The sequence below is a fragment of the Homo sapiens genome, chromosome 14 (genome assembly GCF_000001405.40).
Source record: "Homo sapiens chromosome 14, GRCh38.p14 Primary Assembly".
Lineage (NCBI taxonomy): Eukaryota > Metazoa > Chordata > Mammalia > Primates > Hominidae > Homo > Homo sapiens.
Genome location: NC_000014.9, coordinates 68811699 through 68832518, shown reverse-complemented (window position 1 = coordinate 68832518; position 20820 = coordinate 68811699). Strand labels below are relative to the sequence as shown.

General features: G+C 48.6%; 13 annotated features.

Moving 5' to 3' along the window:
• Positions 7313-7607: an enhancer, noted in NCBI's record as "tiled region #4438; HepG2 Activating DNase unmatched - State 1:Tss, and K562 Activating DNase matched - State 5:Enh". NCBI's record gives its function as "activates a minimal TATA promoter and a strong SV40 promoter by Sharpr-MPRA in HepG2 and K562 cells {active_cell/tissue: HepG2 | K562}" and the evidence as "EXISTENCE:reporter gene assay evidence [ECO:0000049][PMID:27701403]".
• Positions 7384-7433: an enhancer, noted in NCBI's record as "active region_8630". NCBI's record gives its function as "activates an Ori minimal core promoter by ATAC-STARR-seq in GM12878 lymphoblastoid cells {active_cell/tissue: GM12878}" and the evidence as "EXISTENCE:reporter gene assay evidence [ECO:0000049][PMID:35858748]".
• Positions 7604-7803: an enhancer, noted in NCBI's record as "active region_8629". NCBI's record gives its function as "activates an Ori minimal core promoter by ATAC-STARR-seq in GM12878 lymphoblastoid cells {active_cell/tissue: GM12878}" and the evidence as "EXISTENCE:reporter gene assay evidence [ECO:0000049][PMID:35858748]".
• Positions 9240-9339: an enhancer, noted in NCBI's record as "active region_8628". NCBI's record gives its function as "activates an Ori minimal core promoter by ATAC-STARR-seq in GM12878 lymphoblastoid cells {active_cell/tissue: GM12878}" and the evidence as "EXISTENCE:reporter gene assay evidence [ECO:0000049][PMID:35858748]".
• Positions 9920-9979: an enhancer, noted in NCBI's record as "active region_8627". NCBI's record gives its function as "activates an Ori minimal core promoter by ATAC-STARR-seq in GM12878 lymphoblastoid cells {active_cell/tissue: GM12878}" and the evidence as "EXISTENCE:reporter gene assay evidence [ECO:0000049][PMID:35858748]".
• Positions 11290-11489: an enhancer, noted in NCBI's record as "active region_8626". NCBI's record gives its function as "activates an Ori minimal core promoter by ATAC-STARR-seq in GM12878 lymphoblastoid cells {active_cell/tissue: GM12878}" and the evidence as "EXISTENCE:reporter gene assay evidence [ECO:0000049][PMID:35858748]".
• Positions 15412-15461: an enhancer, noted in NCBI's record as "active region_8625". NCBI's record gives its function as "activates an Ori minimal core promoter by ATAC-STARR-seq in GM12878 lymphoblastoid cells {active_cell/tissue: GM12878}" and the evidence as "EXISTENCE:reporter gene assay evidence [ECO:0000049][PMID:35858748]".
• Positions 15486-16225: an enhancer, noted in NCBI's record as "H3K27ac-H3K4me1 hESC enhancer chr14:69283011-69283750 (GRCh37/hg19 assembly coordinates)". NCBI's record gives its function as "activates a minimal SCP1, AML or CMV promoter by ChIP-STARR-seq in naive H9 embryonic stem cells {active_cell/tissue: H9 hESC(naive)}" and the evidence as "EXISTENCE:reporter gene assay evidence [ECO:0000049][PMID:30033119]".
• Positions 15562-15611: an enhancer, noted in NCBI's record as "active region_8624". NCBI's record gives its function as "activates an Ori minimal core promoter by ATAC-STARR-seq in GM12878 lymphoblastoid cells {active_cell/tissue: GM12878}" and the evidence as "EXISTENCE:reporter gene assay evidence [ECO:0000049][PMID:35858748]".
• Positions 15712-16101: a silencer, noted in NCBI's record as "silent region_5874". NCBI's record gives its function as "represses an Ori minimal core promoter by ATAC-STARR-seq in GM12878 lymphoblastoid cells {active_cell/tissue: GM12878}" and the evidence as "EXISTENCE:reporter gene assay evidence [ECO:0000049][PMID:35858748]".
• Positions 16242-16471: an enhancer, noted in NCBI's record as "active region_8623". NCBI's record gives its function as "activates an Ori minimal core promoter by ATAC-STARR-seq in GM12878 lymphoblastoid cells {active_cell/tissue: GM12878}" and the evidence as "EXISTENCE:reporter gene assay evidence [ECO:0000049][PMID:35858748]".
• Positions 16552-16771: an enhancer, noted in NCBI's record as "active region_8622". NCBI's record gives its function as "activates an Ori minimal core promoter by ATAC-STARR-seq in GM12878 lymphoblastoid cells {active_cell/tissue: GM12878}" and the evidence as "EXISTENCE:reporter gene assay evidence [ECO:0000049][PMID:35858748]".
• Positions 17377-17496: an enhancer, noted in NCBI's record as "active region_8621". NCBI's record gives its function as "activates an Ori minimal core promoter by ATAC-STARR-seq in GM12878 lymphoblastoid cells {active_cell/tissue: GM12878}" and the evidence as "EXISTENCE:reporter gene assay evidence [ECO:0000049][PMID:35858748]".

Below are 20820 nucleotides of genomic sequence, written 5' to 3'. Positions count from 1 at the left end.
ATCTTGGCTCACTGCAAGCCTCCCAGGTTCAAGCGATTCTTCTGCCTCAGCCTCCTGAGTAGCTGGGACTACAGGCACATGCCACCATGCCCGGCTAATTTTTTGTTGTTGTTTGTATTTTTAGTAGAGATGCAGTTTCACCATATTGGCCAGGCTGGTCTCAAACTCCTGACCTCGTGATCCACACACCTCAGCCTCCCAAAGTGCTGGGATTAAAAGCATGAGCCACCGTGCCTGGCCCCTAGGAATCAATTTAACCAAAGACGTGAAAGATCTATACAAGGAAAACCATAAAATTTTGACAAAGGAAATTGAAGACGACATACGAAAAAGGAAAAGATAGTCCCTGCTCATGGATTGGAAGAATTAACATTGTTAAAATGGCAATATTACCCAAAGCAATTTATAGCTTGAACACAAGCCCTTTCAAAATACTAATGATATTATTCACAGTAATAGGAAAAAAAAAAACCCTAAAATTTATATGGAACCACAAAAGACCCCAAATAGCCAAAGCAATACTGAGCAAAAAGCACAAAGCTGGTGGCATCACATCCCATTATGTGATTTCAAAATATACTACAAGGTTGTAATAACCAAATCAGCATGGTACTGCCATAAAACAGATACACAGATCAATGGGAACACAACAGAGAACTCAGATATAAAATCCATTCATTTATAGCCAACTAATTTTCAATGAAGATGCCATGAATATACACTGGAGAAAGAAGAGTCTTTTCAATAAATGGTGCTGGGGAAACTGGATAACCATATGCAAAATAATAAAACTAGACCCCTATTTCTTACCATATATAAAAATGGATTAATTACTTAAGTCTATGACCTGAAACTATGAAACTACTAGAAGAAAACATTGGGAAACACTCCAGGACAAAGATTTTTTGTGTAAGACTCAAAAGCACGGGCAATAAAAGCAAAAATAGACAAAGAGGATTACAGCTAGCTAAAAAGCTTCTGCACAGCAAAAGAAACAATCAACAAAGTAAAGAGGTAACCCCCAGAATGAGAGAAAATATTTGCAAACTACTCATCCAACAAGGGATTAATAACTGAATATATAAGGAGTTCAAACAACTTAATAGCAAAAAAAAAATCTGATTTAAAAATGGGCAAAACATCTGAACAGACATTTCTCAAAAGAAGACACACAAATGGTGTATGAAAAAATGCTCCACATCACTAATCATCAAAGAAATACAAATCAAGCCTGGGCGAGGTGGCTCACGCCTGTAATCCCAGCACTTTGGGAGGCCAAGGTGAGCGGATCAACGAGGTCAGGAGATCGAGACCATCCTGGCTAACACAGTGAAACCCCGTCTCTACTAAAAACACAAAAAATTAGTTGGGCGTGGTGGCGGGCGCCTGTAGTACCAGCTACTCGGGAGGCTGAGGCAGGAGAATGGCATGAACCCGGGAGGCGGAGGTTGCGGTGAGCCGAGATCGTGCCACTGCACTCCAGCCTGGGTGACAGAGCAAGACTCTGTCTCAAAAAAAAAAAAAAAAAGAAAAGAAAAAGAAAAAGAAAAAGAAAAAAGAAATACAAATCAAAACAACAGTGAGATCATCTCACTCCACTTAAAATGGCTTTTATCAAAAAGGGATGCTGCTGAGGATATGGAGAAAGGGGAACCCTCATAGACTGTTGGTGGGAATGTAAATTAGTACAACCACTATCAATAGCACTTTTTGAGCTATTTTTAGCACAAAAAACTAAAAAGAGAACCACCATTTGATCCAGCAATCCACTACTGGGTATATATCCAAAAGAAAAGAAATCAATATATCAAAGAGATATCTGCACTCCTGTATTTATCACAGCACTATTCACAATAGCCAAAAAATGGAATCAACCTAAGTGTCCATCAATGGATGAATAGATAGAGAAGATGTGGTATATATACCCAATGAAGTATTATTCAACCATAATAAAATAAAATTATGTCATTTGTAGCAACATGGATGCAAGTGGATGTCACCATGTTAAGTGAAATAAGCCAAGTGCAGAAAGACAAATATTGCATGTTCTCACTCATATGTGGGAGCTAAAAACTTGGATCTCTTGAAGACAGAGAGTAAATTTGTGGTTTTCAGAGGCTGGGAAGGAGAGGGGAGTGAGGGGATGAAGAGAGGTTGATTAATGGGTACAAATATACAGTCAGAAAAAGTAAGATCTATTGTTCTATAGATCTGTAGGGTGACAATAGTTTGCAATAACCTATTATGTATTTCAAAATAGCTAGAAGGGAATAACTTGAATGTTTCCAGTATAAAGAAAAGACAGATATTCAAGGGACAGATATCTCAATTATCCTGATTTGATATTTACACATGATATGAATGTATTAAATTATTACATGTACCCTGAAAATATGTACATCTATTATGTATCAATAAAAAATAAACATACCTTAAAATAAAATAAAATGTGTAAAGGAAAAAAATCATTTGACCATATATGTGAGGGTTTGTTTCTGGGCTCTGTCTTCTACTTCATTGGTTTATATGTCTGTCTTTATGCCAGTTCCACATTGTTTTGAATACTGTAGCTTTGTTTTGAAATCAGGAAAAGTGAGTCCTTTAGCTTCGTTCTTTTTCTTTTTCTTTTTTTTTGAGACAGAGTCTCTCTGTCGCCCAGGCTGGAGCACAGGGGCGCGATCTTGGCTCACTGCAAGCTCCGCCTCCCGGGTTCACGCCATTCTTCTGCCTCAGCCTCCCAAGTAGCTGGGACTACAGGCGCCCGCCACCAGGCCCGGCTAATTTTTTGTATTTTTAGTAGAGACGGGGTTTCACCGTGTTAGCCAGGATGGTCTCGATCTCCTGACCTCGTGATCCACCCACCTCGGCCTCCCAAAGTGCTGGGATTACAGGTGTGAGCCACCGTGCCCGGCCAGCTTTGTTCTTCTTTTTCAAGATCATTTTGGCTACTTAGGGAACCATGAAATTCAATATAAATTTTAGGATGAGTTTTTCTTTTCTGCAAAAAAAAAAGTCATTGGGATTTGATAGGGCTTGCATTGAATCTGTAGATTGACTTGCTGTAGTGAGAACTTCCAGTACTATGTGGAATAGAAGTGGTGAAAGCAGGCATCCTTTCCTTGTTCCTGATCATAGAGGGAAAGCTTTCAACTTTTCACCATTGAGTATATTTGCAGTGAGTTTTTTGTATACAGCTTTTTAATGTTGAAGTAATTTCCTTTTATTTTTTAAAAAAACTTTTATTTTTTAAAAATCAACAGATAATAATTGTGCATACTCATGGGTTACCTACTGATTTGATTATACATATAATATGTAGTGATCAGATCAAGGTAACTAGCATATCCCTCATCTCAAACACTGATCATTTCTTATATTGGGAACAGTCAGTATCCTCCTTCTAGCTATTTGAAACTATATATTTTATTTTTAACTATAGTCATCCTACAGTGGTACAGAACACAGAACTTATTCCTCCTATCTAGCTATAATATTATATCTTCTAACAAATTTCTCTCTAACTCTCTCTTCCCCTTACCCTTCTCAGCCTCCAGTATCCTCTGTTCTACTTTTTCTATGAGGTCAACTTTTATTTTTCACTTCCACATATGAATGAGACATGCAGTGTTCCATTCCTGGCTTATTTCACTTAATATAATGTCCTCCAGTTCCACCCATGTTGCCAAGAATGACAGAATTTCATTCTTTTTTAAATAGCTAAAAAGTATTCCATTGTGTATATATACCACATTTTCTTTATCCATTCATCTGTTGTTGAACATTTAGAATTCTATTCCTAATTTGTTGAGTGTTTTTATCATGAAACGGTATTGAATTTTGACAAATGCTTTTTTTGCATCAGTTGAGATTATCATTTTTCCCTTTTGTCTGTTAATGTGGTACATTATATTGATCATTTTTTGTATGTTGATCCATCCTTGAATTCTGGGAATAAATTTCACTTGGTCATGTATGTAATCCTTTTAATATGCTGCTGAATTTGGCTTGCCAGTATTTTGTTGAGGTTCTTGCATCAATGTTCTTAAGGGATATTGGTCTATTGTTTTCTTGGCATGTCTGTCTGGCATTGCTTTCAGGGTAATACTGGCCTCATAGAATGAATTAGGAAGTGTTTTCTCCTTTTTTTTTTTTTTTTTTTTTTTAGATAGGGTCTCGCTCTGTTGCCTAGGCTGGAGTGCACAGCATGATCATGGCTAACTGCAGCCTCAACTTCCTGGGCTCAAATGATTCTCTCGCCTCAGCCTCCAGAGTAGCTGGGACCACAGGTGTGCACCATGATGCTTGACTAATTTTTGTATTTCTTGTAGGGACAAGGTCTCACTGTGTTTCCCAGGCTGGTCTCAAACTCTCAAGCAATCTGCCTGTCTTGGTTTCCCAAAGTGCTGAGATTACAGGTATGAGCCACTTTGCCCAACCCCTCCTTTTTAATTTTTAAAAACGTTTGAAAAAAATAGGTGTTAGTTCTTTAGATATTTGATAGGATTCACCAGTGAATCCATCAAGTCTAGAGCTTTTCTTTATTGGAAGGTTTTGATTACTGAGTCAATCTCTTTACTAGTTATAGATCTATTCAGATTTTCAATTTCTTCTTGATTTAGTCTTGGTAGGTTTTATGAATATGTCTATTTCACCTAGGCTATCCAATTTGTTGGTGTACAATTGTTCATAGTACTCTCAGAATCCTTTTTATTTCCATAGAATTGGAAATAAACGTCCCCACTTTCTTTCTTTTTTTTTTTTTCTTTTTGTGAGACGGAGTCTCACTCTTGTCACTCAGGCTGGAGTGCAATGGCGCGATCTTGGCTCACTGCAACCTCCGCCTACCAGGTTCAAGAGATTCTCCTGCCTCAGCCTCCTGAGTAGCTGGGCATTACAGGCATGTGCCACCACGCCTGGCTAATTTTTGTACTTTTTTAGTAGAGACAGGGTTTCACCATATTGGCCAGGCTGGTCTCGAACTCCTGACATCAGGTGATAACACCCGCCTTGGCCTCCCAAAGTGCTGGGATTACAGGAGTGAGCCACCGCGCCCGGCCAAATGTCCCCACTTTCATTTCTGATTTCAGTAATTTGAGGCTTCTCTCTCTCTTTTATTAGTCCATCTAGCTAAAGGTTTTTCAATTTTGTTGATCATTTCAAAAAACAAACTTTTTGTTTCGCTGGTTTATCTCTATTGTTTTTCTTTTTCTTTTTCTGAAATGGGGTCTTGCTCTGTTGCCCAGGCTGGGGTGCAGTGGCATGATCTTGGCTCCCTGCAACTTCTGCTTCCCAGGCTCAAGCGATCCGCCCATTTCAGCCTCCTGAGTAGCTGGGACTACAGGCACACACCGCCATGCCCAGCTAATTTTTTGTATTTTTGGTAGAGGTGGGGTTTTGCCATGTTGCCCATGCTGGTCTTGAACTCCTGAGCTCAAGTGATCTGCCTGCCTTGGCCTCCCAGAGTGCTGGGATTACAGGCATGAATAACTGTGCCCAGCCTTTTCTATTGTGTTTCTATTCTCAGTTTCATTTGTTGCTAATATTTATTTTGACTACCACGACTGGCCTCCAGTTATATTTCTGTTATTGATTTTTAACTTCATCCTGTTGTGGTCCGAGGAGATACTTTATATGACAGTTATCTTTTTAAATTTATTTAAATATTGGGTTGTTTGGTTTTCTCTTTATACTTCCTCAAGTTGTAAAGTTAGGTTGTTGATTTGAAATCTTTCTTGTTTTTTAATGTAAACACTTACAGCTATAAATTTCCACCTTAGCACTGCTTTTATTGTATGTCATACATTTTGCTATGTTGTGTTACTTATAGCTATAAATTTTCTCCTTAGCGCTGCTTTTGTTGTATCTCATACATTTTGCTTTGTTGTGTTTTCATTTTCTTTTATTTCTAGGTATTTTCTGGTTTCCTTTGTGATGTCTTCTTTGATCCATTGGTTAAGAGTGCATTGTTTTTTCACAAATTTGTGAATTTTCCAGTTGTATTTCCTTTTCTTTTCTTTTTTTGTAGACAGGGTCTCACTCTGTCGCCCAGACTGGAGTGCAGTGGTGTGATCACAGCTCACTGCAGCCCCAACCTTCCCAGGCTCAGATGATCTTCCCACCTCAGCCTCTAAGAGTAGCTGGGACTACAGGTGTGCGCCACCATGCCTGGCTATTTTTTATTTATTATTATTATTATTATTATTATTATTATTTTGTAGAGATGGGGTTTCAGCATGTTGCCCAGGCTGTTCTCGAATTCTGGGCTCAAGTGATCTGCCCACCTCCGAGGCCTCCCAAATTGCTGGGATTACAGGCGTGAGCCACCACGACCGGCCTTCAGTTATATTTCTGTTATTGATTTTTTAACTTCATCCTGTTGTGGTCCAAGGAGATACTTTATATGACAGTTATCTTTTTAAATTTATTGAGACTTCATTTGGGTTTGGTCCCATGGGGCTTGTGTAGCTGCAGGGCTGGAAGTTAAGTGGACAGCTACCTTTGGAGTTACATATTGGATGGGGCTAATACTTCCTCCCTCACAGGGCTGGTGTGACGTGCAAATAAGATAACACAGGTGAAAGGCCTTTGTAAAGTATAACAAGATAAGGAAAAGTTTATCATTGATCCTTTTTACCACAGAGAGGAGGAAGAGCCATTTCCCTGCTTTCTCCTCAACAGTGCAGTCTCTCTTGGGAGCAGGAGACAGGAGAGAAAAAGCTACGCTTTTGGTTGGAAATAGCCTCTTGTTAAAATCTGAGCAGTTAAAGTCGAGTGCCTAAACACCAGCACAAGTTTGCCATCACAGCTGAGTTGAAAAACCCAAGTTCTGTATCTTTTTCATTTGTATTTTTTGTTTGTTTTATTTTGTTTTTATTTGAGGCAGAGTCTTGCTTTGTTGCCCAGGCTGGAGTGCAGCGGTGCAATCTCGGCTCACTGCAACCTCTGGCTCGTGGGTTCAAGCTATTCTCATGCCTCAGCCTCCCAAGTAGCTGAGATTACAGGCGCCTGCCAGCATGCCTGGCTAATTTTTGTGTTTTTAGCAGAGACGGGGTTTCACCATGTTGACCAGGCTGATCTCAAACTCCTGGCCTCAAGTGATGCACCCGCCTCGGCCTCCCAAAGTGCTGGGATTACAGGCGTGAGCCACCGTGCCTGGCCACCCCTTTTTCATTTGTGAACTAGAAATAGTAACACCTACCTCATGGGTCATTGTGAGGATTAAGATAACTTTTACTCTTGTTGGTGTTGTCATCACTAATATTTGAAGAAAGCCATGCTAAAGGGCTGTATATGTTGTTCTTCCATCTTGCAATGACCTTCTGATGTAGATCTATCACTTCCTTTTTTCTTTTGAAAAAATTGAGGGTTAGTTGCACAACGCTTCCAGACCCTGTAGGAAGGAGACTGGGATTGTCCCTGTGCTCCTAGGCGAGCTGTCTTTGGGAAGTGGGGCTCTATGCAACCCGTGCCGGGAGAGGCCACTAGAGGGCACTCGCCTGCTCCTCATGGCCTGTGCTGGACCGGAAGGTGTCCAGCCCTAAACACACCCCCTCGGACAGCCGCTGTGCCGCATGCCCAAAGTGACCTCTATGGCATTTTCCAGGATGGAGCGTAGTCTCCAGGACCACATGTGGGAATATGGGGCTAATAGGCCTGCTCAATTTGTTCTCAGAACAGGGTGGTGAAAACATTTGCCCTGCTCAGGTTCCTGGGACTCTGTGCAGAAAGGTGAGGGAGGATGGTGCTGTCTGTCCCCTTCAAGGATTCCTCCAGGACAGGCAGCTCATGCAAGACCTGAGTGCACAGGGGAGGGCACCAAGGTGTTGAGCAGTTTCCTGTGCACCCCACCCCCTCCAGGAGGCCCTTCATACCCTCTGTTAGCTCACTGTATGTCATGACAAGCCCCCACTCCCGAAGTGGGCAGTGGGTACAAACTCACTGCTGGGGAGGGGCTGTGCCTGACCAGGCATGGCTCTGGGGTCCCCTCTTGGCTTCCTCTGACCCCAAGTTGAGCAGCATCTGGGACTTGTTCTCCAGAAGCACGCTGGCCAGCACCTGCCCCTGGCTTACTCCAGTCTTCCTTGGAGAGCTGGCTGAGGGCTGGATGGGAGAGTTCCCCTGTGTGCCCTTTAACTCATGGAGTTGCCCTTGACTTGGTCCAGTTACTTTCCCCTTGTGCCTCATGGAAGGTGTTGGTGGGCTATAGATCCCTATGTTTCCCTGCCTGCAGCCCCAAGATCCACAGCCCCTTTTTGCCAAGTTATCCTGACTCCTGGGTCCAGTCCAGCCTGCCCCTTACCCCATTGGCCTTCCCTGTCCATGGCAGTGACCCCTTGCTGAGTCACATCCGCACCACCTTGCACCCACCCCCTTGGGCAAACAGGGCCCGGGCAGTGACCCCCAGGGCCCAACAGCCAGTGCAAAGGAGTTCTGCCCTGGCCAGGCCTACTTGCCTTTCCAGGACAGCAGTTGGGGCCTCTTGGCCACCCACCCCCACCTCCACCTTGGGCAGAACCAATGGATCTCTTTTTCTTCTTTTCCTCCCAGCAGGGGTGGGCAGATCGATACGTGGCCCAGGTTCCTCTTAAGCAATGGAGCTCCCAAAGCCCTGTAGATGATTGACCTGGCCAGCCCATTACTTGGTCATGGAATGTGTGTGTGCCTGGCAAGCAGAAGCCCTGTGGCCTCCAGAGTCCCTTTCTGGGTAGGGTTCTTTCCAGGGGGGGAGACCACCTGGGGGCTATTATTCATGGTAAGCCAGATCCCAGTGGGCCACCCAATTTCTCAAAAGCCCCATTCCCTCTTCACTCCCAGAGGCCATTTGACAGAGCAGCGATTGCTCCTCTCTCTAGGTCAACCCTTTAACCACCGCAACATTCATTTACTAGTCTGCATGTCCACTGACTGCTCAACCACTCACTCACCCATGCGCGCTTATACACTCACTTGCCCTCCCACTCATCCCCATATCCTCTCACATATCCCCTTACCTGTCCACTCCCTCCCTCATCCCAGTGAATACCTGAACATCTGAGGTGCCAGCCTGGTGCTAGGCACAGCCAGCAGAAAAGCTCTAAGCAGTTGTCAAGGGCAAAGCCTTTGGAATCAGAAGGATGTGAATCCTGACTGTACTGTTTCCTGGCCACCTAGCTATGGGCACATTTCTCCAATCTGTGAGCCTTAGTTTCTTCATCTGTAAAACAGGGACCTCATGCACCTTCCTTTCAGGGAGGCTGTAAAGATCGGCTTTAGGATTAATGCATGCAAAGTGCTTCAACCAGAGCCCAGAGAACACAGCTGTGGTCACCGGGCCTCTCAGCAGCCATGTCCTGGCCGTGGGGACTATAGTTGGCCCCATCTGACCCTGGGCTGACCCTGGGACAGGCAGGGGCCCATTCCTGCCCCTCAGCTAGGCTATGCTCCCTGGACAGGTGGTCCCCACCCCCAACCCTGGAATAGAGGGCAATAATCACCCAGCTTCCCATGCATCCCTTCCCTGGCTTTCTTTCCCTCAGGGCGCCCTGGGGTTTTCAGGTCAGCCAAGACACCTGGAGCAAGATCTAGCTTGCTCTCTCCCCTCTCTGCCAAGGAAGTTCTCTGTGACAGCAGCAGGGGGTGGGAACTGGTTGAGAGCATCTGACCCTCTGAGGGAGCATTTTCCTTCCCACATGAGGCCCTATGTGCCCAGGACCTGGTTAGCCCCCATCCTCTTCCCTTCCACCCAGAGCCCCAGTGCAGACTGTTCCCTCCAGCTCATCTGGGAGTTCCCTGGGGCAGGAGGTGCACCCTGAATGCCAAAAGGTGGGCTTAGCTGTGGGGTCAGCTAGGGCAGGGGAAAAGAGAGGGACTGGAGCACGGCTGGGGCAGGGGCTCCGTGTGAAGGGATTTCCTTCATTTCCCCTAGACAGGCAGCCATGTGAGGTTCACAGGGGAGCGTTGTGGGCCCCTTGGCTTTTATTAGGGGATGTGTAGAAATGTGGGTGTGGACCTTTGAGTGGCTCACACCAGAATGCAAATTTTCTACACACTGGCCTGGTGACCTTGGATAAGTCACTGGTAAAATCTTAGTGGTTTAAGAAATACACGTGACATACTCAGCATGCACTGACACCCAGGAAGTGCTGTGTTATAAGGGGATGGCCCTGGGGCCAGTGGCTTTGTACCAGCCTGGGTAAGTCCCTGGCCATTCAACTCAGCCAGCAGGGGAAGGGCTGTAGGGAGCCCTTCCCCTCCCCTTGGCCGGTCCTTGGTGGCACTTTCAGTGGCCATGTCCTTGCTGGATAATGCTTCTTTCATCCTGGATGGGGTGCAGGTGGGGGTGGCAGTTAAGAAGTCCCAACTCCCCAGGCTCATGTTTTCAGCCTGACTTACTGAGTAGACCTGCCTTGGTGAGGATGAGGTGGGATGGGGTGAGCGGTAGGGGTGCATAACTGTCTGGAGGTGAGCTCGGCTGTGGACATGTGAGCACACACACACTGTCTCATATATTCCAGCTGCAGCTGCCCGTGGGTTAGGGCCCTGCCTCTGGTCTCCTTGCCCCTGGCAAGGTGGTCATTATTAGTTTCCTTCTCAGTTTGCTCTATTTTAAGCTTCTAGAGGACAGGAACATGTTTGTTTTGTTTTTAAAATGTTATATCCTTATTGCTCAGTAGAGTAACTGGCACTGAATGAGTGAGATGGAAGAATAATTGGACACTAGGCAGTCAGTGTCAGAACAGGGTGTGTGGACAGTGCACACTGAGTCTCAACTGGCCATCAAGTGGGCCAAGGTGGGCATCCCCAGGCAGGCATTCTAGGGTCCTGTGTATTGCCATATCTGTGCCCTCCACCTAAGGCTGGACGTTGGTAGGGGCCCTTATGTCATGGCCTTCTTGATGTGACAGCCCTGCTTTCCTGAGGCCAGGGATCCCCGGTGTGGGCTGTGTCAGGCGCTGCCAGCGGGGAACTCCCCAGGCTCAGTGCTGGTGCTTGTTCTCCGGAGCACCCCTCTGTCCTGCCCCTGGCCCCAGCACCCAGTTTCTGTTCTGGGGTGGCTCATCCTCATCAGAAAGGGAGCTCCTTGGAGGCCTCGTGGTGCCTGGCTGGTATACAGTGGGTGCTCAGTACATGCCTGCCATCTGAGTGGTCCACTTGCTGGACGGGGCTGGCCATGTTGCCTAGGGAAGCTGGCTGGGAACAGCGTTCCCAACCCGGCCTGCCACCAGGCTGGCCCCCAGGGTTGAGCACCTCCCAGCTGTCACAACCCAGTTGTGAGAAACGGTTCAACCCCCGGGAGTGCTATGGTCTGTGGTTGGCCAGGGGCTGGAATTCCCCCAAGGAGGCGGCCCCTGCGGCCACGCTATGGTCTTGCCTGGATCAGGGTGACTGGGAGGCCAGAGCACCCTCGCCTGTGAACCTGCGCTGAGAAGTGAACCTGCGCTGAGAAGTGAACCTCAGAAGGGGTCAGGTCACCACTCAGGGACCAGCATGCCCCCAGGGGCAGCCTCCTCCCAGACGGCAGTGCCAGGATGGGGCCATCTGGGGAGCAGGCTTGCACGGACCATGTCTCTCCGGTGTGGACTCAAGCTGGGAGTCTCAGCGCCTCGGGACTGTTTCCTCATCTGTAAGATGGGAGTGCTTACAGACAATGGAACATTATTTAGCCATAGACCAAGGTGTAATAACAATACATGTTACAACCTGGATAAACCTCGAAAACATGATGCTAAGTGACAGAAGCCAGACACAAAAGCTCTGGATAGGTGAAGTATCCAGAATAGGCAACCCCATAGCGACAGGAAGTAGAGGGTGGTTTCCAGGGCCTGGGGGAGGAGGGAAAGGAGAGCAACTGTTTAGTGGGTATGGGTTTCCTTTTGGGGTGATAAAAATGTTTTGGAACTAGACAGAGGCGGAGGTTCCACAACCCTGTAAATATACTAAATTCCACTGAAGTGTTCACTTTAAAATGCTTCATTTTATGTTATGTGAACCTTACCTTGATAAAAAACACAGGGGTGCTACTGACTTCACCAGCTGGTTTGGAGGCTTCAAAGAGAAGATGGCCGTGTAGCCTGAGCTCAGCCAGTGACACTGGTGAATGTCAAAGAATGGAAGCCATCGTGACCCTGGGGGCTGTGTCAGTTCCCTTGCCTTGCTGGACTCCAGACTGCGGGAGTCAGGGGCAGGAGCCAAGGGGGAGGTGAGGGCAGGTGGCTTCGCTGGGCACACCCCTTAGTCAGGGGCAGAGGGAGCTGCTGCGGCTGCTTCAGCAGCTGTGGGTGAACATTCCTATGCTGCAGGCCCAGGCTCCCGCCTCTGATTTGCTGCGCACTTTGGGTTGGCCCTTCAACCCTGGTTCGTTTCTTAATCTGCCCATATCTGCCTGGGTACCTGCTCTTCTGCCGCTGTATTGGACACCTGACCCCATCCTCATACCCGATTCCCACAGCGCAGGTCACTGCCAGGCAGTGTATTACCGATCTCTTGGTTCTGGGGTCTGTGGTCTATCTTCCCTACAGAATCAAGGGAAAATGGATCTGTTTTGTTCATGACTGTATTTCTAACACCCAGTGCCTGGCACATAGCAGGTACTCAATAAATATCTGTTAAATGAACAAATGTACAAATCCTCATTCTTTACGTAGTGGGTGCCAGGTCCTGTCTGTACTAAGTGCTGTCAGTAAATAGCTGTGAGGTCAATGTTATCATTATCTCCGTTTTACAGAGGAGGAAGCTGAGGCTCTGGGACATGGAATGGCCATAGCAGAGCTGGGATTCTGACCTGGCAGCCCAGCAGCAAAGCCCTCGCTCTGACCCACCCAGTTCTAAGCTGTCTTCTGACCTGGAGCTCCCACTCTGGGAGGCAGCTTGGGCCCTGAAGCATTCACTCTGCCTCCTCAGCCACCGGGCCCCGCCCACTCCCAGGGAGGGGCTCCCTCTGAAGCCGCACACCCACCACCCCGAGCCCTTTCTCAGGCTCACTGCCACCCCAGCCGGCTCCCTTCCCTGGGAACCTCCGTCATAAAGAAGGCGAGGCCCTGATCTGGCCTGTCTCTCCGCCCTGGGGCCTTCCTCACCTCAGGGAACCTTAGTTATACATATGGGAGTTACGCCTTGAGCTTGTATTAAGCACCTTTCATCTGGAGAGCTCCTGGCTGCTGGGAGGCTAATTAGCTGCTCTCTGGAAAGAGTGAGTAAGAGCTGACGTCCTAGCCAGGGAACTGCCTAGCTAGGCATGGGGCTGGCCCTCCTGGGAGAGGTGTGTGAGCCATCATCTTGGGTCACCCACTTCTCCATATTTCTCCTTCTGTAGGACCTCCTCACAGAGTCCCTTCTCTCTGGCTAATGATGAAGCCCACCGTTTATTGAGTGCTTATTATGTGCCAAGAGCTTGCTAAGCCCCTTCGCCTGTTAAATATGTGTGCAGAGCAGTAGGGCCGTAGGACTACATAAATATATGTGTGCAGAGCAGTAGGGCCGTAGGACTACATAAATATATGTGTGCAGAGCAGTAGGGCCGTAGGACTACATAAATATATGTGTGCAGAGCAGTAGGGCCGTAGGACTACATAAATATATGTGTGCAGAGCAGTAGGGCCGTAGGACTACATAAATATATGTGTGCAGAGCAGTAGGGGTGTCATGCGTTAACAACTGTGATGGAGCCCTACTCCTTGCTGGCATGGGACCAGTACTTCTGCACATGACCTCATGGAGTGGATGGGAAGCCTCTAGTGTGCTGCCTGGCACGGATCAAGCACTTGCTAAGTGGTAGCTATTATCAGTAATCTTCAGAACAGCCCAGTGAGGTAGGTACCATGCTATTCCCATTTCTCAGATGAGGAAACAGGCTCAGAGAAGTTAAACCACTTACTGGCTATCACAGAGTCAGGAATAGAGTTGGATTGATTTGATTGATTCTAAAGCTGCACATAGTTTTTCAGCTGCTCCCCGCTCCCTTCCCCTAACCTGGAGTCTGTTAACGACAAAGGCCTTGCTTTGCATAATGCTAGGGTCATGGGGTCATTGGGCAGGGCTGTTCTCGTCCATCTCTCCAACAGTGCACTGGTGGGCTAGGCATGGATCAGAAACCCTTGGAGATCATCTAACACAACTCATCCGCACCCCACATTTTTCAGATGTGAAAACGGGACAGAAGGGACTGAGCAAGGTAACAGGATTAATGGGATGATACCTCCTTGTCAGCACAAGGGATAAAGTGGCAGTGGTTGGTGGTCATCCTGGCCCCTGCCATCAAGCTGGCATTGATACAAAGTAAGAATCATTAGAACACTAGAATTCCTGGCTGCCATTTGTCAGCCTGGCCCACCTGCAATGAGTGACCCCAGGGATGTTTGGGTGGGGTGGGGGTGCACACAGCAGGCTGGAGCTGAGACTGGGGCGGGGAGGGTGTACTCCACCTACCTGCCCTCCAGGGTGCTTGGCGCCTCCTAGGGCAGGCTGGCCTCTTTGTGCCATGCCCCACAGAGCATTGCAGTGATCCTAGTGCAGAGCACATAGTAGGTGCTTAAAAATGCTCATTGGAGAAACAGCTGGATCCTGGACTGCAGGAGGGAGGAGATGGCACACTGAGGGCATTGATGGGTAGATGGTAACATCATGTCTGTTCATCATTACTCAGCAGACCTGGTTCCATCAGATGTGACTGCCCTTCAGGCCTTACAGAAGGTACCTACATAAATCTGCTCAGGCAAAGAGAAGTTTGTGGGCTGTGGGCACCTGGCTGGGGTTCCTCAAGGTGGAGCATTCTTCTTGGCACTGACGGGGGTAGCTAAGATCTGAGCATGCAGGCAGGCCCTCTTCTCCCCTGGATGCTGCCCTTCTGAGGAGGCAGCTCTGTGGGTACCAGAGGCATGGGCCTAGGAGGCTGTGACCCCCTGCCTGGCCCCCTACCAGTCTCTGCTTCTACAGACAGGGTCTGCATCTTACCTGCTCCTCCTGCCAGTTCCAGTCCCCTCCCCATTCCCCTCAGGACCTCATCCCTCCTCCTGGCCTCAGCTTAAGGGTTTCCTCAGAGAGGTCTTCCTCAAGAACCTTCCCATCCCAAATCTAAATGAGTGCCCCATTTATATATGTTCTCTGAGCACCTGATTCTTTTCCTTCATAGGAATTTGAAAGTCTTTTCAAATGGAATCTTATATTTCTTTCTAGGTGATTTGTTGAAACAAGTCTGTCTCCTCCGTTAGACTAAGCTCCGCGAGGGGTGAGAAAGTTGTTCCGTCCACTCGTCCTCCGGGGCTAGCAGGACATATTCTGTATTAAATGAGTAGATGACAGAAACCCCGTGAGAGAAAGAGTGAGCCGAGCCAGTGGTTCTCTAAGTGTGGCTCCAGGACCAGCGGACCAGCAGCTCAGCATCGCCTGAGGATTTGTTAGAAATGCAAATTCTCTGACTTGGTTGGGGGACCCAGCAATCCGGGTTTGAAAGAACTGTCCAAGGGGGGATTCCTGTGCACACTGAAGTTTGAGAACCACCGAAGGCGGCAAATCCCCTGCTGTTGGGTGAGTGTGCACTGTGGCAGCTTTGGTGACCTGTAAGAGGAACCATGGATGAGCAAACCCCACCTTCAAATGTAGCAAAGGGCAGAGAGAGGGTGGACACGTCACCCAGACCCCCAAAAGGGGCCCAGACGTGTTGTTCGGCGAGCTGGCCACTGGAGGGCAGTGTGGCCACGTCCATCGTGCTGCCTCCGAGGGCTTCCGGGGGAGAGCGGCCGCGGGAGGACGGGAACGAAGCCGTAGCGAGAACCTCGCCCCACGCCGCAGCCTCCTGCAGCAGCGTCGGCTCGCCGGCCCCTTGCGTTCCGAGCCGCCCAGGGAGCTCAGCCGCCGCAGCCCCGGCCCCTGTGTCTCCCCTCGCGGGCCGGGCCTGGTGTGCACGTCTGGATGGCCTCGGGCCTGGAAGGTTTGCGAGGCCCCGGGAGCCGCAGACCGCGCCGGGGAGGAGATCCCGGCAGGCCGGCCGGGGCAGAGCGCCAAGGAGGGCGGCGGAACCTTGGCTGTTTCCCGGGAGGCCAAGGGCAGCCTTCCCGCGTGATCCGCGCGCTGCCGAGCGCGTCGGCCATCTTGGCGGCCTCGCCCGGGCCCCGCGCCCGGCCCGGCTTGGTTCTCGCTCGCGGCTGAGCAGACGCCGGGGTGGCGACGGGAGAGCCCGACCGCGAAGCTCGGCCGCAGGAGTGCGTGGGCGTCGCAGAAGCCCAGGAGAGCCCTGGACCTTGGTAGCTTCCCGGGGGTGCTGGGAAACGCCACCCCAGTAGCCGCCAGGAAGGCAGGCCTGAGCCTCCGAGCCTCAAGTGAATTGGATGGTGCCAGTCGCCCTTCTTCTTTTTGCCCCATATTCAAAGAGCGGGAAGTCAGAGGGCGTTAAAGTAGGTCACAGCGGTCAGCAGGTTTTTGTGGGGCAGGCAAGTGGCAGGGTCCAAGGCCAGGCGTAGTATCTGGTTGCCTAAGATGCTTGGGCAACTCCTTCACCGGGCACACCAATCTCCGAGCCAGAGGTCAGGGACTGGCCCCGCGGAGCTGGCTGCAGGCGGCCGATGCATTCCAGTCCCTGACCACCATGGGGACTTGAGGTGCCATTCTGAGGAGCCCCAGGCCCCACCACGCCTGTTGCCTCTGTCTAGAGTAGTTCACACATGGATGCTGTCTCTCTGGTACTTGGGTGTTTCTCAGGTTCCAGAACATCCGTTCATCTTACCAGTCCTTCAAGGTTCAGCTTAAAGATCAGCTCCACCAGGAAGCCTTCCTGGATTTCCCCTCTTAGTTTCCAACAGAATCCGTCTCTTCCGTTCTCTGCCCACCTTGAGTAGCAGTAGCTTCAGCTGTAGACTCTCCTGTTTTTCCCTTACAGTCTTTGTTGCTGCATCCTCTTTCACTGAATTGTTGATGTGAGACCCTAGACTCTCTTGTTTTTTCGTTACAGTCTTTGTTGCTGCATCCTCTCTCACTGAATTGTTGAATTGTGAGACCCTGTGAGGGTCGGCACCCTGTGATACTGGCCAGGAAAGGGTTGTTGCAAGGGGATCATGGGATTGTTGAATGGGTTTTGATCTGGATTTTGATGTTGGAAATCAAGTTCCCAAATGTTTTCAACCTTGGGTAAAGGAACATGTAATGGTGTTTTTTAAGGCTGTCATGGAATCCTTTTGTGTGTTTAATTGCTTTGTTATTTTAGTAGAAATGTCAGGGTGTCAGAGGAACAAAAGCCATGGGTCTGAGCCCAAGCAAGAAGACAAACCACTGAGCCCGTGCTGGGTGCTTCCTCTGCGTGGCCTCAGGGTCAGGGCCTGTCAGATGGAATGGCAGGCTGCGGGTCCAGCCCCAAGGTCCAACCAAGGAAGCTCCTGGGGCCTTGGCCGAGCTTGAGGCTGTGATTTCAGACTCCTCGCTGGTCTAGGTCGGTATTTCAGAGGAGGCAAAAGAGAAAGTGCCTTCACAGCCTTGGAGAAGACTGGGAGCTAAAGGAGACATCCTTGCTTTTTCCTTTTAAAATAATAAGCCAAATGTTCTCCCATGAAGGACTCCAGAAAACCCCGTTCATGCCTCACCCACAGATGATTTGCTGAATGCTCATTAAGGGGAAAACAAAGAGGTGGTTTTGTTTATTTATTTAAAAGGAAAAATAAATGAGCTGTGACAAAACAATTTGAAACCAGGCCCCTCTGAGACCTGGGCTTTCACTTCCTTGATGGGAAGTAAAACAGAGAATCAAATCCCCCTCCAAATAAAAGTGAAGTTAATAATCAGACAGCTCGAGCCCTGGCCACATCCTGTCAGCCCCCTCCCTCCCTAGGCTCTCTGTTTATAGCTGCCGAGTGCTTTCCCTCCAGAGCCCAAGCCGGCTTAACCCTTTCCTCCCCATCCAGGGAAGCCCAACCCTGCTCTTGAGACTGGAGGTGGGTTCCTCACACCCACTGGTGCTGGCCTAACCTCAGCAAGCGGTGGCTCTCCCCAGGCCTGCCGGCATGGGCCTGTGTCCCCCACAGGGCAGCCAGCTTGGATTTGAGTGATATTCTCTGCTTGTCCTGCACAAAGCCTGAAAGTGTCACCTTTCCTCTCCATACCTCCAGGGGAAGACTAGGCCAACCCATTCCCATTCCAGACGCCATGCAGCTTCTATAGCCCGGTGGGCTCCAGAAAGCTGCATTCTGACAGAAAGAGGCACAAATCTTTGGGGTTTCTGGTCTGCACAGAGAGCAGCACTCTGTGCATGTCTCTGGGCTACTTTCTGTGAAAACTTTCCACTTCCTTCAAATGCCTTCCATTGTAGTAGCATGTTGATTTCTTCCAGAACCCCATGGGGTCAATAGTAGCACATCCCACTGGGCAGAGGAGGGCCCCTTGCTAAATTAATTTTGAGTTCTCTACTGTTCTAGGCAACGACTCTGCCCTATAGGGCCATAGTTATCCTCATTTTACAGAGGAGGAAACAGGGGTTAAGTACTTTGCCCAATGTTACAGAGCTAATACATAGCAGAGCTAGGATTTGAACCCAGGCATTCTGGCCCCGGCGTGCCCTTAGCCTTTGCACTCAAGGTTTAGCAGCCAGAGATTGCTCTCTTCTCTGGAGCCAGGGGGCTTTCAGAAGCTCAGGATAATCTTATGACTGCATTGTGAAGGTCTCAAAGCCCAAGGACCTTTCGAGAACATTCTTGAGTTTTGTCTTGGGCTCTCCAGCCTCCTTTCTTGTTTCCTCTTATGGGAGAAGAGGGAGCAGGTGGAGCCAGTGCAGGGCTCCATCCATTCTCCTCCAGAATCAGCAGGGTCAAGATGTGGCTGGATGTGAATCCTCCATCCCTTCATCTGGCTGGCAGACTTAGAGCAAGAACCCAAAGACTTGGTGTGGCCACTCTGACGGTGGTCTGGATGACCTTCTGCTTAGGTTCCCTTGTCTCCTCCAGTCTTGTCACCCAAAGTCCCAAATACCCGCTTCTGGCTGAAGCTTGTCAGCAGGAGGCCACCCACACAGTAGCCTGGAGCGTGAACTGGCTGTGCAGGCCACCTGCCTCTCCTGGGAGTCCTGCGTGCCATGGCTCCTTGATTTCTTCTTAGAACTGTATCTCTTGCCTGGCCACTTTTGCACAGCCATTTGGCAGGGCCTTTGCACCAGTGAAGGTACATTGTGGTGTATAGAGGCCTTCAGGGACCACTTGCCTGAGACTCAGCTCCTTTTTGGGAGATGTTGCCACGCCCAGGGTCTGCTGTTTGTCTAGAGGACCCTGAACCCCATCTTTGGGAAGGGTTGGTCTGCTGCAGGTCTGCTTTCTGGGGGTGCATTTTGACATTCAAAGCCATGGACCAGAGTGGGCAGTGCCTTACTCTTCATTTTCCAAGTAATTCTTCAACTAGAGAGAGCTGTGGTGGCTCTATCCCAACTGCCCTGTTCTTTCCAGAGCCTGGGCAGCTCCTCTGGCTGGGGGGCGCTGAGCACAGCCATGGCTTCTGTGACACTTGAAGGGGCTGACACCCAGCAAGGTACCTGGCCCAAAGGGGTTTCAGAGGATGTGTGCCTTGATTTTTATTTAATTTAAATGTTTAAGAAAAGCATTCAAATTCAGAGTGTTCACGATGGGGTGGCTCTACTGTGGTCCTCTCAGAGGCTTAACAGCCACAAAAAAGCCACATATTAGACCCACCCTGTTACAGTTCTTACTGTGCTAGGCACTCGACACACTGATCTCATTCACCCTCATGCCCTGGGAAATGGGGGATATGTAAGTATCCCCATTTTCCTGTTGTGAAAAGTAAGGTTAGAAAGGTTGAGTAGCTTGCCTACCCTGCTATGATGGCTTTCTGCTGAGGAAATAAAAAAAAAAGTTCATTGTGCTTTAAAAATATATTGAAACCAATTTTATAGTAATTTTTACTGAGCTTAAAAGCAGTGTCAAAATGGACATCAGTCCTTCTGCCTGTACTCTTCCAGCCCAAGAGGCCCAGAGGGGCAGGACCCCACTCTTGGTCCCCACATAAGTGTGGGGAGGGCTGTGTAGGTTGCTTTTCTGACCTCGGGTGGGGGTGTCCATCTGTTCTCCAGCCCTCCCTGACAGGTTTTTCCATAGCTTCATTTCTTGTCCAAGAACACGTCTGTAGGAAGTAAATACTGTATTGCAAGTGCTAGTAAGACAAGAATCATTGAGTTAAAACATTTTTAGTTTTTCTGAACTTAAAACATTTTATTATGGAAAATTTCAAATATATGCAGAAGGAGACAGAGTGATATGATGAACCCCGTGTACCCACCCAGTCTCAGCATCACCAACTCATGGCCAAACCTGTTCATCAGTGCCACCATCCACCGCCCTACCTCCTGTACAATTCTGAAGTATATCCTGTATATCACATCATATCATTTCATCTGTCAATAGTTCTTCTGGGCCGGGTGTGGTGGCTCATGCTTGTAATCCCAGCACTTTGGGAGGCCGAGGTGGGCGGATCAGTTGAGGTCAGGAGTTTGAGACCAGCCTGGCCAATATGGTGAAACCTTGTCTCTACTAAAAATACAAAAATTAGCCGGGCGTGGTGGAGTGTGCCTGTAGTCCCAGCTATTTGGGAGGCAGGTGAATCGTTTTAACCCGGGAGATGGAGGTTACAGTGAGCCGAGATTGTGCCACTGCACTCCAGCCTGGGCAACAGAGCAAGACTCTGTCTCAAAAAAAAAAAAAAAGTTCATTCTTTATCCCCAAAGAATAGATTCTTGTCAAACTTAGCCACATTATCATTATTCCACCTAAAAATTAATAATACCCCCTAAACATTACCAAGATTCAACTGGTGTTCAGATTTCCCAAAACACTTTCAAATTCTTTGCTTTTCCACTTACTG